This window comes from Homo sapiens, chromosome 8, assembly GCF_000001405.40.
Source record: "Homo sapiens chromosome 8, GRCh38.p14 Primary Assembly".
In the NCBI taxonomy this organism is placed as follows: Eukaryota; Metazoa; Chordata; class Mammalia; order Primates; family Hominidae; genus Homo; species Homo sapiens.
Genome location: NC_000008.11, coordinates 50,501,691 through 50,519,067, shown reverse-complemented (window position 1 = coordinate 50,519,067; position 17,377 = coordinate 50,501,691). Strand labels below are relative to the sequence as shown.

General features: G+C 36.7%; 1 protein-coding gene across 21 annotated transcripts in view; it reads right to left on the bottom strand.

Annotated features, from left to right (window-relative positions):
- The window catches only part of SNTG1 (syntrophin gamma 1), an 886,897-nt gene that overhangs the window by 277,625 nt on the left and 591,895 nt on the right, over positions 1 to 17,377 (bottom strand). For all 21 annotated transcript variants that reach the window (NR_135796.2, NR_135795.2, NR_135797.2 and 18 more), the window contains one exon: positions 16,188 to 16,290. Coding sequence is in view for 16 of the 21 variants with exons in the window: in NM_001287813.3 (NP_001274742.1) it covers positions 16,188 to 16,290 (103 nt within the window). In the remaining 5 variants the exon portion in view is untranslated. The remainder of the gene's footprint in view (positions 1 to 16,187; positions 16,291 to 17,377) is intronic.

Here is a 17,377-nt window from a genome sequence, read left to right as displayed (position 1 = left end):
GAGAGTTGCTTTTGGAGGATTTTCCCATCAATGTTTATCAGTGATATTGGCCTGCAATTTTCTTTTTTTGTTGTGGCTCTGCCAGGTTTTAGTATTAGGATGATAATGGCCTCATAAAATGAGTTAGGGAGGAGTCCCTCTTTTTCAATGGTTTGGAATAGTTTCAGAAGGAATGGTGCCAGCTCCTGTTGGTACCTCTGGTAGAATTTGGCTGTGAACCCAACTGGTCTTGGGCTTTTTTGGTTGGTAGGCTATTAATTACTGCCTCAATTTCAGAACTTGTTATTGGCCTATTCAAGGATTCGACATCCTCCTGATTTAGTCTTGGGAGGGTGTATGTGTTCAGGAATTTACCCATTTCTTCTAGATTTTCTAGTTTATTTGCATAGAGGTGTTTATAGTATTCTCTGATAGTAGTAATATATTTCTGTGGGATCAGTGGTGATATCTCCTTTATCATATTTTACTGTGTCTATTTGATTCTTCTCTCTTTTCTTCTTTCTTGGTCTGGATAGTGGTCTATTATGTTAATCTTTTCAAAAGAAACAGCCCCTGGATTCATTGATTTTTTGAAGGTTTTTTTGAGTCTCTATCTCCTTAAGTTCTGCTCTCATCTTAGTTATTTCTTGTCTTCTGCTAGCTTTTAAATTTGTTTGGTCTTGCTTCTCTAGCTCTTTTAATTGTGATGTTAGGGTGTCAATTTTAGAAATTTCCTGCTTTCTCTTGTGGGCAATTAGTGCTATAAATTTCCCTCTAAACACTACTTTAGCTGTGTCCCAGACATTCTGGTACATTGTGTCTTTGTTCTCATTGGTTTCAAAGAACTTATTTATTTCTGCCTTAATTTTGTTATTTACCCAGTAGTCACTCTGGAGCAGCTTGTTCATTTTCCATGTAGTTGTGTGGTTTTGAGTGAGTTTCTTAATCCTGAGTTCTTATTTGATTGCCGTATGATCTTAGAGTCTGTTTGTTATGATTCTCATTCTCTTGTATTTGCAGAGGAGTGTTTTACTTCCAATTGTGTGGTCAATTTTAGAATAAGTGTGATGTGGTGCTAAGAAGAATGTATATTCTGTTGATTTGGGGTGGAGAGCTCTGTAGATGTCTATTAAGTCCACTTGCTCCAGAGCTGAGTTCAAGTCCTGAATATCCTTGTTAATTTTCTGTCCTCTTGATCTGTCTAATATTGACAGTGGGGTGTTAAAGTCTCCCACTATTATTGTCTGGGAGTCTAAGTCTCTTTGTAGGTCTCCAAGAATTTGCCTTATGAATCAGCATGCTCCTATATTGGGTGCATATATATTTAGGATAGTTAGCTCTTCTTGTTGCATTGATCCTTTTATCATTATATAATGCCCTTCTTTGTCTTTGTTGATCTTTGTTGGTTTAAAGTCTGTTTTATCAGAGACTAGGATTTCAACCCCTGCTATTTTTTTTTTTTTTTTTTTTTTGCTTTCCATTTGCTTGGTAAATATTCCTCAATTTCTTTATTTGAGCCTATGTGTGTCTTTGCACATGAGATAGGTCTCCTGAATACAGCACACCAGTGGTTCTTGACTCTTTATCCAATTTGCTAGTCTGTATCTTTTAATTGGGGCATTTAGCCCATTTACATTTAAGGTTAATATTGGTATGTGTGTATTTGATCCTGTCATGATGCTACCCAGTTATTTTGCCTGTTATTTGACAGCTTGTTAATGGCATTGATGGTCTTTACAATTTGGTATACTTTTGCAGTGGCTGGTATCGGTTTTTCCTTTCCATATTTAGCACTTTTTTCAGGAACTCTTGTAAGGCAGATTTAGTGATGACAAAATTTCTCAGCAATTGCTTTTCTGTAAAGAATTTTAGTTTTCCTTCGCTTATGGAGCTTAGTTTGGCTGGATATGTAATTCTGGGTTGAAAATTCTTTTCTTTAAGAATGTTGAATATTAGCCCCCACTCTCTTCTGGCTTGTTGAGTTTCTGCGGAGACATCTGCTGTTAGTCTGATGGGCTTCCCTTTGTTGGTAACACGACCTTTCTCTCTGGCTGCTCTTAACATTTTTTCCTTCATTTCAACCGTGTTGAATCTGATGACTATGTGTCTTGGGATTGCTCTTCTTGATAACTGTCTTTGTGGTGTTCTCTGTATTTCCTGAATTTGAATGTTGGCCTGCCTTGCTATGTAGGGGAAGTTCTCCTGGATAATATCTTGAAGAGTGATTTCCAACTTGGTTTCATTCTCCCTTTCACTTTTAGGCACACCAATCAAATGTAGGTTTGGTCTTTTCACATAGTCCCATATTTCTTGAAGACTTTGTTCATTCCTTTTCATTCTTTTTTCTCTAATCTTGTCTTTATACTTTATTTCATTAAGTTAATCTTCAATCTCTGATATCCTTTCTTCTATTTGATCAATTTGGCTATTGATACTTGTGCATGCTTCACAAAGTTCTCATGCTGTGTTTTTCAGCTCCATCAGGTCATTTATATTCTTCTCTAAACTTATTCTAGTTAGCAATTCCTCTAACCTTTTTTTAAAGGTTTTTATCTTCCTTGCATTGGGATAGGACATGATCCCTTAGCTCAGAGGAGTTTGTTATTACCCACCTTCTGAAGACTACTACTGTCAATTCATCAAACTCATTCTCCATCCAGTTTTGTTCCCTTGCTGGTGAGGAGTTGTGATAATTTGGAGAAGAAGTGGTGTTCTGGTTTTTGGAATTTTCAGACTTTGTGTGCTGGTTTTTCCTCATCTTTGTGGACTTATCTATTTTTGGTGTTTGATGATGGGGCCTTTGGATGGGATTTTTTGTGGATGTCCTTTTTGTTGATGGTGATGCTATTTCTTTCTGTTTGTTAGTTTTTCTCCCAACAATCAAGCCCCTATGTTGCAAGTCTGCTGGATTTTGCTGGAGGTCCACTCCAGACCCTGTTTGCTGGGTATCACCAGCGGAGTCTGCAGAACAGCAAAAATTGTTGCCTGTTCCTTTCTCTGGAAGCTTCTTCCCAGAGGTGTACCTGCCAGATGCCAGCCAGAGCTCTCCTGTATGAGGTTTCTGTCGACCTCTGCTGGGAGGCATCTCCCAGTCAGGAGGCATGGGGGTTAGGGACCCACTTGAGGAGGGAATCTGTTCCTTAGCAGAGCTTGCACTCTGTGCTGGGAGATCCATTCAGAGCCGGCAGGCAGGAACGTTTAAGTCTGCTGAAGCCGTGCCCACAGCCGCCCCTTCCCCCAGGTGCTCTGTCCCAGGGAGACGGGAGTTTTATCTATAAGCCCCTGACTGGGGCTGCTGCCTTTCTTTCAGAGATGCCCTGCTCAAAGAGGAGGAATCTAGAGAGGCAGTCTGGCTACAGTGGCTTTGCAGAGTTGTGGTGCACTCTACCCTGTTAGAAGTTCCCAGCAACTTTGTTTACACTGTGAGGAGAAAGCCGCCTACTAAAGGCTCAGTAATGGTAGACGCCCTTCCCCCCATCAAGCTTGAGTGTCCCAGATCAACTTCAGACTGCTGTTCTGGCAGCGAGAATTTCAAGCCAGTGGATCTTAGCTTGCTAGGGTCCGTGGGGGTGGGATCTGCTGAGCTACACCATTTGGCTCCTTGGCTTCAGCCCCCTTTCCAGGGGAGTGAATGGTTCTGTCTCATTGGCATTCCAGGATCCACTGGAGTAACAAAAAAAAAAAAAAAAAAAAAAAAAAAACTCCTGCAGCTAGCTTGTTGTCTGCCCAAATGGCTGCCCAGTTAGCATAAAATATTTTAAATTAAGGTATGTGTATTTTTACACATAATGCCGTTATGGAACATTTGATAGACTATAATATAAGAATAAGCATAACTTTTATATGCAACAAGAAGCCAAATAATTTGTGTGTCTTGTTTTATTGCTATATTCCCTTTATTTTGCTGATCTGGATCTAAACCGGCAATATCTCCAAGATATGCTTATGTATGCTGTCAACTACAGACTCTCTTTATATTTAATGATGAGCACAGGCTGAAAATGAAATGATAGAGAAAAATATTTCATTCAAATGATATAAAAGGGAGCAGAGTGACCATATTTATTCCAGACAAAAATAGACTTTAACTATAAAAACCTTCACAAAGAAAGATATTTTATAATAGTAAAACTGTCAATTCACCATGAAGATATAACAATTATAAATATATATAGGCACCTAACAGCCAAATATCCAAATATATGAAGCAAACTTTGACAGAATTAAAGGGATAGACAGCAACACAATAATAGTATGACATTTAAGTCCTCAACTGCTACTAATTTATAGAACCACTACACAGAAAGAATAACAAAATGGAGGACATGTGTGACACTAAGCACTAATTTGGCTTAACACATATACAGAACACTTCACTCAACAATAATAAAATATACATTCTTCTTATGTGTACACAAAATATTCTCCCTAATAGTTTACATATGTGGTCACAAAACAAATCTTATTAAATTTAAGAAGATTGAAATCATATCAAATATCTTTTCTGATACAATGGAATTAAAATGGAAATCAATAGCAGAGAGAGAACTGAAAAATACACAAATGAGTGGAAATTAAACAATGAAGTTTTGAAAAACCAATAAGTCAAAAAGAAATCACAAGGGACTTAAAAATATTTTAAACAATATCCAACAAATTAAAATGAAACACAACATACAAAAATTCATGGGATGCAGCAAAAGCATTACAAAGAGAGAAAATTTTATCAGTAAACATATGTATTTTAAAGCATTATGTTGCAAAATAATTTAAAAACCTCAAATCAGCAACCAAATTTTACCATTCAAAAACTAGAAAAAGAAACAAACTAAACCCAAGGTAGCAGAAGGAGAGCCATTATAAAGATTAGAGCAGAAATAAATAAAGTGGAAAAAAGAAATACAGTATAGAAAATCAACTAAGCAAATAGTTGGTTTATTGAAAAGATCAACAATATTGACGAAACCTTGACTAGGCTAATAAAAAAAAGTAAAATATGCAAATAAAAATTAAAAGTGAAATATTGCAGGGGGAGCCAAGATGGCCAAATAGGAACAGCTCCAGTCTACAGCTCCCAGCATGAGCGATGCAGAAGACGGGTGATTCCTGCATTTCCAACTGAGATACTGGGTTCATCTCATTGGGGAATGTCAAAAAGTGGGTGCAGGAGAGTGGGTGCAGTGCACTGAGCGTGAGCTGAAGCAGGGCGAGGCATTGCCTCACCTAGGAAGTGCAAGGGGTCAGGGAATTCCCTTTCCTAGTCAAAGAAAGGGGTGACAGATAGCATCTGGAAAATTGGGTCACTCCCACCCTAATACTGCACTTTTCCAACGGTCTTAGCAAACGGCACACCAGGAGATTATATCCTGCGCATGGCTTGGAGGGTCTTATGCCCACGGAGCCTCACTCATTGTTAGCACAGCTGTCTGAGATCAAACCGCAAGGCAGCAGTGAGGCTGGGGAGGGGCATCCGCCATTGCCAAGGCTTGAGTAGGTAGACAAAGCACCCAGGAAGCTCAAACTGGGTGGAGCCCACCGCAGCTCAAAGAGGCCTGCCTGCCTTTGTAGGCTCCGCCACTGGGGGCAGGGCATAGCCAAACAAAAGGCAGCAGAATCCTCTGCAGACTTAAATATCCCTGTCTGACAGCTTTGAAGAGAGCAGTGGTTCTCCAAGCACACAGCTGGAGATCTGAGAATGGACAGACTGTCTCCTCAAGTGGGTCCCTGTCCTCCGAGTAGCCTAACTGAGAGGCACCCCCCAGTAGGGGCAGACTGACACCTCACACGGCCAGGTACTCCTCTGAGACAAAACTTCCAGAGGAACGATCAGGCAGCAATATTTGCTGCTCACCAATATCCGCTGTTCTGCAGCCTCCACTGCTGATACCCAGGCAAACAGGGTCTGGAGTGGACCTCCAGCAAACTCCAACAGACCAGCAGCTGAGGGTTCTGACTGTTAGAAGGAAAATTAACAAACAAAAAGGACATCCACACCAAAACCCCATCTGTACATCACCATCATCAAAGACCAAAGGTAGATAAAATCATAAAGATGGGGAAAAAACAGAGCAGAAAAACTGGAAACTCTAAAAATCAGAGTGACTCTCTTCTTCCAAAGGAATACAGCTCCTTACAAGCAACAGAACAAAGCTGGATTGAGAATGACTTTGATGAGTTGAGAGAAGAAGGCTTCAGATGATCAAACTACTCCAAGCTAAAGGAGGAAGTTCGAACCCATGGCAAAGAAGTTAAAAACCTTGAAAAAAAATTAGATGAATGGCTAACTAAAATAACCAATGCAGAGCAGTCCTTAAAGGACCTGATGGATCTGAAAACCAAGGTACGAGAACTACATGATGAATGCACAAGCCTCAGTAGCCAATTCGATCAACTGGAAGAAAGGGTATCAAGGATGGAAGATCAAATGAATGAAATGAAGCTAGAAGAGAAGTTTAGAGAAAAAAGAATAAAAAGAAACGAGCAAAGCCTCCAAGAAATATAGGACTATGTGAAAAGACCAAATCTATGTCTGATTGATATACCTGAAAGTAATGGGGAGAATGGAATCAAGTTGGAAAACACTCTGCAGGATATTATCCAGGAGAACTTCCCTAATCTAGCAAGGCAGGCCAACATTCAAATTCAGGAAATACAGAGAACACCACAAAGATACTCCTCGAGAAGAGCAACTCCAAGACACATAATTGTCAGATTCACCAAAGTTGAAATGAAGGAAAAAATGTTAAGGGCAGCCAGAGAGAAAGGTCGGGTTACCCACAAAGGGAAGTCCATTAGACTAACAGCTGATCTCTCGGTGGAAACTCTGCAAGCCAGAAGAGACTGGGGGCCAATATTAAACATTCTTAAAGAAAAGAATTTTCAACTCAGAATTTCATATCCAGCCAAACTAAGCTTCATAAGTGAAGGAGAAATAAAATACTTTACAGACAAGCAAATGCTGAGAGATTTTGTCACCACCAGGCCTGCACTAAAAGAGCTCCTGAAGGAAGCACTAAACATGGAAAGGAAAAACCAGTACCAGCCACTGCAAAAACATGCCAAATTGTAAAGACCATCGAGGCTAGGAAGAAACTGCATCAACTAACGAGCAAAATAACCAGCTAACATCATAATGACAGGATGAAATCCACACACAACAATATTAACCTTAAATGTAAATGGGCTAAATGCTCCAATTAAAAGACACAGACTGGCAAATTGGATAAAGAGTCAAGACCCATCAGTGTGCTGTATTCAGGAAACCCACCTCACGTGCAGAGACACACATAGGCTCAAAATAAAGGGATCGAGGAAGATCTACCAAGCAAATGGAAAACAAAAAAAGGCAGAGGTTGCAATCCTAGTCTCTGATAAAACAGACTTTAAACCAACAAAGATGAAAAGAGACAAAGAAGGCCATTACATAATGGTAAAGGGATCAATTCAACAAGAAGATCTAACTATCCTAAATATGCATGGACTGAATACAGGAGCACCCAGATTCATAAAGCAAGTCCTTAGAGACCTACAAAGAGACTTAGACTCCCACACAATAATAATGGGAGACTTTAACACTACGCTGTCAACATGAGACAGGTCAATGAGACAGAAAGTTAACAAGGATATCCAGGAATTGAACTCAGCTCTGCACCAAGCAGACCTAATAGACATCTACAGAACTCTCCACCCCAAACAACAGAATATACATTCTTTTCAACACTACACCACACCTATTCCAAAATTGACCACATAGTTGGAAGTAAAGCACTCCTCAGCAAATGTAAAAGAACAGAAATTATAACAAACTCTCTCTCAGACCACAGTGCAATCAAACTAGAACTCAGGATTAAGAAACTCAGTCAAAACCGCTCAACTACATGGAAACTGAACAACCTGCTCCTGAATGACTACTGGGTATATAACTAAATGAAGGCAGAAATAAAGATGTTCTTTAAAACCAATGAGAAGAAAGACACAACATGCCAGAATCTTTGGGACACATTCAAAGCTGTGTGTAGAGGGAAATTTATAGCACTAAATGCCCACAAGAGAAAGCAGGAAAGTTCTAAAATTGACACCCTAACATCACAGTTAAAAGAAATAGAGAAGCCAGAGAAAACACATTCAATAGTTAGCAGAAAGCAAGAAATAACTAAGATCAGAGCAGAAATGAAGGAAATAGAGACACAAAAAACTGTTCAAAAAATCAATGAATCCAGGAGCTGGTTTTTTGAAAATATCAACAAAATTGATAGACCGCTAGCAAGACTAATAAAGAAGAAAAGAGAGAAGAATCAAATAGATGCAATACAAAATGATAAAGGGGATATCACCACCGATCCCACAGAAATACAAACTACCATCAGAGAATATTATAAACACCTCTACGCAAAAAAACTAGAAAACCTAGAAGAAATGGATAAATTCCTCGACATATACACCCTCCCAAGACTAAACCAGGAAGAAGTTGAATCTCTTAATAGACCAAAAACAGGCTCTGAAATTGTGGCAATAATTAATAGCTTACCAACCAAAAAAAGTCCAGGACCAGATGGATTCACAGTTGAATTCTACCAGAGGTACAAAGAGGAGCTGGTACCATTCCTTCTGAAACTATTCCAATCAATAGAAAAAGAGGGAATCCTCCCTAACTCATTTTATGAGGCCAGCATCATCCTGATAACAAAGGCTGGCAGAGACACGACAAAAAAAGACAATTTAAGACCAATATCCCTCATGAACATCGATGCAAAAATCCTCAATAAAATACTGGCAAACCAAATCCAGCAGCACATCAAAAAGCTTATCCAACATGATCAAGTGGGCTTCATCCCTGGGATGCAAGGCTGGCTCAACATATGCAAATCAATGAATGTAATCCAGCATATAAACAGAACCAACAACAAAAACCATATGATTATGTCAATAGATGCAAAAAAGGCCTTTGACAAAATTCAACAACCCTTCATGCTAAAAACTCTCAATAAATTAGTTATTGATGGGATGTATCTCAAAGAAATAAGAGCTATCTATGACAAACCCACAGCCAATAGTCTACTGAATGAGCAAAAACTGGAAGCATTCCCTTTGAATACTGGCACAAGACAGGGATGCTCTCTCACCACTCCTATTCAACATAGTGTTGGAAGCTCTGCACAGGACAATCAGGCAGGAGAAGGAAATAAAGGGTATTCAATTAGGAAAAGAGGAAGTCAAATTGTCCCTGCTTGCAGATGACATGATTGTATATTTAGAAAACCCCATCATCTCAGCCCAAAATCTCCTTAAGCTGATAGGTAACTTCAGCAAAGTCTCAGGATACAAAATCAATGTGCAAAACTCACAAGCCTTCTTACACACCAATAACAGACAAACAGAGAGCCAAATCATAAGTGAACTCCCATTCACAATTGCTTCAAAGAGAATAAAATACCTAGGAATCCAACTTAGAAAGGATGTGAAGGACCTCTTCAAGGAGAACTACACACCACTGCTCAATGAAATACAAGAGGATACAAACAAATGGAAGAACATTCCATGCTCATGGGTAGGAAGAATCAATATCGTGAAAATGGCCATACTGCCCAAGGTAATTTATAGATTCAATGCCATCCCCATCAAGCTACCGATGAGTTTCTTCACAGAATTGGAAAAAACTACTTTAAAGTTCATGTGGAACCAAAAAAGAGTCCGCATCGCCAAGTCAATCCTAAGCCAAAAGAACAAAGCTGGAGGCATCACGCTACCTGACTTCAAACTACAAGGCTACAGTAACCAAAACAGCATGGTACTGGTACCAAAACAGAGATAGAGACCAATGGAACAGAACAGAGCCCTCAGAAATAATGCTGCATATCTACAACTATCTGATCTTTGACAAACCTGACAAAAACAAGCAATGGGGAAAGGATTCCCTATTTAATAAATGGTGCTGGGAGAACTGGCTAGCCATATGTAGAAAGCTGAAACTGGATCCCTTCCATAAACCTTATACAAAAATTAATTCAAGGTAGATTAAAGACTTAAATGTTAGACCTAAAACCATAAAAACCCTAGAAGAAAACCTAAGCAATACCATTCAGGACATAGGCATGGGCAAGGACTTCATGTCTAAAACACCAAAAGCAATGGCAACAAAAGCCAATATTGACAAATGGGATCTAATTAAACTAAAGAGCTTCTGCACAGCAAAAGAAACCACCATCAGAGTGAACAGGCAGCCTACAGAAGGGGAGAAAATTTTTGCAATCTACTTATCTGAAAAAGGGCTAATATCCAGAATCTACAATGAACTCAAACAAATTTACAAGAAAAAAACAAACAATCCCATCAAAATGTGGGTGAAAGATATGGACAGATACTTCTTGAAAGAAGACATTTATGCCACCAACAGACAAATGAAAAAATGCTCATCATCACTGGCCATCAGAGAAATGCAAATCAAAACCACAATGAGATACCATCTCACACCAGTTAGAATGGCGATCATTAAAAAGTCAGGAAACAACAGGTGCTGGAGAGGATGTGGAGAAATAGGAAAACTTTACATCGTTGGTGGGACTGTAAACTAGTTCAACCATTGTGGAAGTCAGTGTGGCGATTCCTCAGGGATCTAGAACTAGAAATACCATTTGACCCAGCAATCCCATTACTGGGTATATACCCAAAGGATTATAAGTCATGCTGCTATAAAGACACATGCACACGTATGTTTATTGTGGCACTATTCACAATAGCAAAGACTTGGAACCAAGCCAAATATCCAACAATGATAGACTGGATTAAGAAAATGTGGCACATATACACCATGGAATACTATGCAGCCATAAAAAATGATGAGTTCATGTCTTTTGTAAGGACATGGATGAAACTGGAAACCATAAAATTCTCAGCAAATTATCGCAAGGACAAAAAACCAAACACTGCTTGTTCTCACTCATAGGTAGGAACTGAACAGTGAGAACACATGAACACAGGAAGGGGAACATCACATACCGTAGCCTGTTGAGGGGAGTGGGGAGTGGGGAGGGATAGCATTAGGAGATATATCTAACGTTAAATGATGAGTTAATGGGGGCAGCATACCAACATGGCACATGTATACATATGTAACTAACCTGCACGTTGTGTACATGTACCCTAAAACTTAAAGTATAATAAAAAAAAAGAAATGAAGGTGGGAATTGAACAATGAGAACACATGGACACAGGAAGGGGAACATCACACACCAGGGCTTGTTTGGGGGTGTGGGGAGGGGGAAGGGATAACATTAGGAGATACACCTAATGTTAAATGATGAGTTAATGGGTGCAGCACACCAACATGGCACATGTATACTTATGTAGCTAACCTGCACGTTGTGCACATGTACCCTAAAACTTAAAGTATAATTAAAAAAAAAGAAATGAAATAGTAGACATTACAACTGATGCCACAAAAACCAAAATGATTGTTAAAGAGTAATATGGACAATTATGTGCCAACAAACTGAATAATCTAGAAAAAATAGATAACCTTCTAGAAATATGTGACATACCAACAATCAATTATGAAGAAACAAAAAATACAGACAGACATAGAACTAGTAAGGAAATTGAATCATTAATAAATTCCTCACAAAATACGAAGGGCCCATGACCAGATGGTTTTACTGTAGAACTTTACCAAGCATTTAAAGAGGAATTAGCACTGATCTTTCTCATACTCTTTCAAAAAAATTTGATGAGGGGAAAGCAGTTTCCAGCTTGAAGTGAACATTACCCAGATACTGAAACCAAGCAAAGATACTACAAAAAATAAAACTACAAACCAATATTCCTGATGAATATTAATGCAAAGGTCCTCAAAAAGATACTAAAAAACTGAATTCAACTACAAATTTAAAAGATTATACACCATGATCAAGTGTGACTTATTCCTGAAATGCAAGGATGGTTCAACATGAAAAAAAATCTATCTATGTAATTAACACATCACAATAACAGAATGGCAGAAAAAAAAATCCCACATAGACACCTCAGTTGATGAAGAAAAAAGCATTTGCCAAATTCAATATTTTCACAATTTAAAACATAATACATTTTACAAACTAGGAATAGAAGGAAATTACCTCTACATAATAAAGGTCATTCATATATAAAAAGCCCATAGCTAACATTATACTGAATAATGGAAAACTGAAAGCTTTCCCTCTAAGATTAAGAATAAGGCAAGGATGCCCACTCTCAAGTCTTCTATTCAACATACAACCAAAAGTTCTAGCCAGAAGCAATTAGGCAAGACTAAGAAATAAAAGTCACCCAAATTCAAATGAAGAAGTAAAATTATCTTTGTTTGCAGATATGAGCTTATATGTAGAAAACTCTAAAGTTTAAACACACACACAAAAATGTTAGATCTAATAAACAAGTTTAAGGAAGTTGCAGAATAGACAACATAAAAATTCAGTTGTTTCTATCCATTAACAATAAAAAAACAATTTTATTGATAATAGCATCAAAAAGAATAATTAGGAATAATCTCACCCAAAATTTTAAAGACTTTACACTGAAAACCACAAAATATCATTGAGAAATTAAAGATGAAACAAATAAATAGAAAGACATCCCATGCTGATACACTGGAAGAATTAATATTGTTAAAATGTTCATGCTAAGCAATGCAATCTACAGGTTCAATGCAATCCCTATCAAAATCTCTATGGTATTATTTTGCAGAAATAGAAAAACTATCCTAAACTTCATACAAAACCTCAACGAATTCTGAATAGTCAAAAATTCTTGAGAAAGAAAAACAGAGCTGGGGCTTTACACTTTCTGAACTCAAGATACATTACAAAGCTGCAATAATAAAAACAATGTGGTACTGGCATTAATGCAGACACATAGAACAATGGAACGGAATAATCCCAAAATTAACCCTCAATATGTGATGAAATTATTTTAAACAAACATGTTAAGGTTATACAATAGGGAAAGAATAGTCTTCTCTTCAATTAATTATATTGGGAAAACTGGATATCCTCATGCAAAAGAATGTTGGGCACTTACCTTATACTATGTATAAAAATTGACTCAACACAAATCAAATACCTAAACATTAGATTTGAGCTGTAAAAAATCCTAGCAGAAAAATTAGAGAAAAATCTTTATGACATTGGATTTGGCAATTATTTTCTGAATATGACACCAAAAACACAGGCATTAGAAGCAAAAATAGACTTGACTACAGAAGAATTAAAAATTTTGTAAAATAAATAAAATGATCAACAGAGTGAAACAGCAACCTTTGAAATGGGAGAAAATATTTTCAAACCATATGTCTGGTAATACGTTAATAGCCAGAGTATCTGAAGAATTCTTACAACTCAACAACAGCAAAACAAATAACCAGATTTAAAACTGGATAGTAGACTTGAATAGACATGTCTTCAAAGAAAATATGCAAATGGCCAATAAATATGTGAAAAGACGCTTAAGATTACTGATTATCAGGGAAATTCAAATCAAAACCACAGTGAATTATCATCTGACAACAATTAGAATGGCCACTATCAAAACCAAAACAAAACAAAGCAAAAAAACAGAAAATAAGAAGTGCTGGTGAGGATATGTAGAAATTGGAAGCTTTGCCTGTTACTTAAGAGTGTAAAATGATGCAGCTACTATGGAAAACAGTATGGTCATTCTTCAAAAAATTAAAAATAGAATTAACATATGATCCAGGAATCCCACTTCTGAGTATGTATCCAAAATAACCGAAAGCAGAGTTGTGAATGATATTTGTACACTCATGTTCATTGTAGCATTATTCACAATAACAAAGATGTGGAACCAATCTAAATGCTCACTGTTTGAGGGCTGAATAAAGAATATGTGGTATATGCATATGAAAGAATGTTATTCATTCTTAAATAGGAATGAAATTTTGTCCTATTCTACAACATAGATGAGTCTTAAGGACATTATGCTAAATGAAATAAGCTAATCACCAAAAGAAAATACTGGATTATTCCAAGTGCATAAGGTGTCTAAAGTAGTCAAATTCTTATAAACAAAATACAATGGTGTTTGCCAGTGGGTGGGTCTGGGGAAAATAGGGAATTGTTTAAGGGGTATAGAATTTCCATTTTGCAATATCAAAAGTTTCTGGTGATATGTTACGCAATAATGTACATAGACTTAAGGCTACTCTTCTGAACACTTAAAATGGTAAAGATGGTAAATTTTATGTTATGTGTTATTTACCACAATAAATAACATGCTCACTTTGGAAATAAATTTCACAATTTATTTATTTTAATTAATTATTTATTTATTTTTGAGATGGGGTCTTACTCAGCTCACTGCATCCTCAGCCTACCAGGCTCAAGCCATCCTCTCACCTCAGACTCCCAAGTAGCTGGAACCACAGGCACATGCTACCATGCCTGGCTATTTTGGGGTTTTTTTGTATTTTTGGTAGAGATGGCATTTTGCCATGTTGTTCAAGTTGGTCTTGAACTCCTGAGCTTAGGTGATCTGCCGGCCTCAGCCTCTCAAAATGCTGGGATTACACGCATGGGCCACTGCACCCCACCTAAATTCGGCAATTTATTAACAAGTTAATTATACATCTTTCTAGTCACTCAGCAATTCAATTCTTAAGTACTTATTGTAATAAAATAAAATTACAAAACTGCCAAAAGCCTTATACAAGAAGCTTCCAGTGATGGGATTGCTGGGTCAAATGGTATATACCCAATACATATAAATCATTCTATTATAAAGACGCATGCATGTGTATGTTCATTGCAGCACTATTCACAATAGTAAAGACATAGAATCAACCTAAATGCCTATTAGTGTTAGACTGGATAACAAAAATGTTGTACATATACACCATGGAATACTATGTCACCATAAAAAAGAACGAGATCATGTCCACTGCAGGGACATGGATGGATGGAGCTGGAGGCCATTATCCCTAGCAAACTAACACAGGAACAGAAAACCAAATACTTCACATTCTCACTTACAAGTGAGAGCTATTTGATGAGAACACATAGACAAATAGAGGAGAACCACACACACTGTGGCCTTTCAGTGGGATGTAGGGTGGGAGGAGGGACAGGATCAGGATAAATAACTAATGGGTACTAATTTCAATAACTGGTTTGTGTACAACGAACCCCCATGACAAAAGTTTACCTATGTTACAACCCTGCATTTGTACCCCTGAACTTAAAATAAAAGTTAAATAAAAGAACGTTTCCAGCAGCTTTATTTATTATAGCAAAATACTGGGAACAGTGCTGGTATCTTCAACAGAAAGATGCATTAATAAATGTAGTACATTCATACAATGGAATAATAAACAGCAAAATAAACAGCAATATAAATGAACAAACTAAGAAATATGTGAATCTAAGAAATAAGTGAATCTGAAGGAAATTATTCATAATGAAAGACGCCAGAATAAAAAATTAAGTATAATTCCATTCTGTAAAGTTCTAGAAGAGGCAAAATAATGTATGAAGAAGAGAGTGTAAGTGAGTAGTCATTTCTGGGCTGTTATTTACTGGGAACAGTTTTATGATTGTAAGAAGTGGATTAAGCAAATGTGTGCCTTTTCAGAACTGATCCGACTGTGCAAGATCTTTGTATTTTATTGCATACAAATTATGTCTCAGTGAAACATATATTATTCTTCAATTTTTCAGCAAAAGCATTAGATAATATACATTTCATTTTAGAAAATGGAACATGAAAATAAAATTGACAAATAACTTTTTAAGTAGTTCTATGTAAATTAGTACATTCCCTCAAAGGCAAACGCTTTTTTTCATCTTCTCTCATCAGAATAACTTAAGCACATATTCTTGTTTAGTATTAATTTTTAGTTAGAGAAAATACATTCACCAAATATTCTGATGAAATTTAATAGACATGCATAATGCATACATGATATTTGATATGCCTATTTTTAAAACAAATAATACTTCTCCAATTGTAGGTTAGAAAAAACTGTAATGTGGTGAATCTATTCTTCAAGAAAAATAACATCTGTTCCCTTTTCATAAAGGTTAGTAGAACACTTTGTAATATAAAAATGTTTACAGTCAGGCAAAAATCTCAACTTTAAGAAGAAATCACCAATTATTGTCAAAATAATAATTATGTAACTATAATGATGTGAGCACTTTTATCTATTCTTTATAAATGCTTACATGCACAATCTTCATTCAATGGGAGTTTGAGGAAAGCAGGTGCTCTTTTTAAAAATGACACTGTTAGAGTCACTTCTTCTCCAGCATTCCGAAGAACCTGAACCTGAAAAAAAGAATAAAAAGAATACAATCATCATTACATTTATCATGTTATATGATGGCAAAGCCTTGAAATTATTGGTTGTTTCTTCCACCTTCCATTTTTCCCTAGTATTCAGAAACATTTTATAAAAGATAGAGGGAGCTAATTATTTATCATTGCAGTAAGAGCCATCAATGTTCATCCTCTTGTCACATTCTGTGATCACCTGTTTATACACAACGTGAATCTTCCATTCATACTTGTTGAGGTCTTCCTGAGTTTATGCTCTATATTAGGCAATATGAGGAATCAAGAAGTCCACAGAAAGGCAGATAGAATGTTCAGGTCACTGTATTTATTGGTAAATTATTAATAATTGTTGAGCACCTATTTTGCACCAATAAATTGGATAAGCTTTGGAGCATATGTTATGTAACATAAAATAAGCTAAGATGTAAGAGAAAATGATTCGAAAAGCATAAAAATCTGATTCTGCCAATATTGACCAGAGTACTAATTCAGATTAAAGCAAATTGACCCAATTCACTCTAATCCTCTTGCAAAAAATAAATAGGCATTACATATTCTACTTAATATTTTCTTTTCTTTCCCCTGCAAACCTGTTATTATCAATAGCATCAGTTGTAATATAATGTTGAAGTCTGTTATTATCAATAACTCTCAACATTTTTTAAAATACAGAATTAGTAAGTCTAGTTCTTCCAGTTAAAATAATTTCAATTTCTCCAAGAATCATATCCAAAAATATAAGCCATGTGCAAATTTTAAAATTTAAAAAAAATTAAAAGAACAAGAAGTTGAAGAGTTACTTATAGCAAACACACCTGAAAAAGATATTAATATGTTTATAATTTTAAACTATCATGTAAAATGAGACAAGAATAATCAGTGAAAAAGCAGTTAATAAACATGGAAATATATCTTGTTAAATACATAGAAAACTTGTTCAACCGCAATTAAAGAATTGGCTACTTGAAACCAATTTAGAATGACTTCTGGCCCTGACAAGATGGCACAGATGGCTGGGCATGGTGGCTCATGCCTGCAATCCCAGCACTTTGGGAGACCGAGGCAGGTGGATCATCTG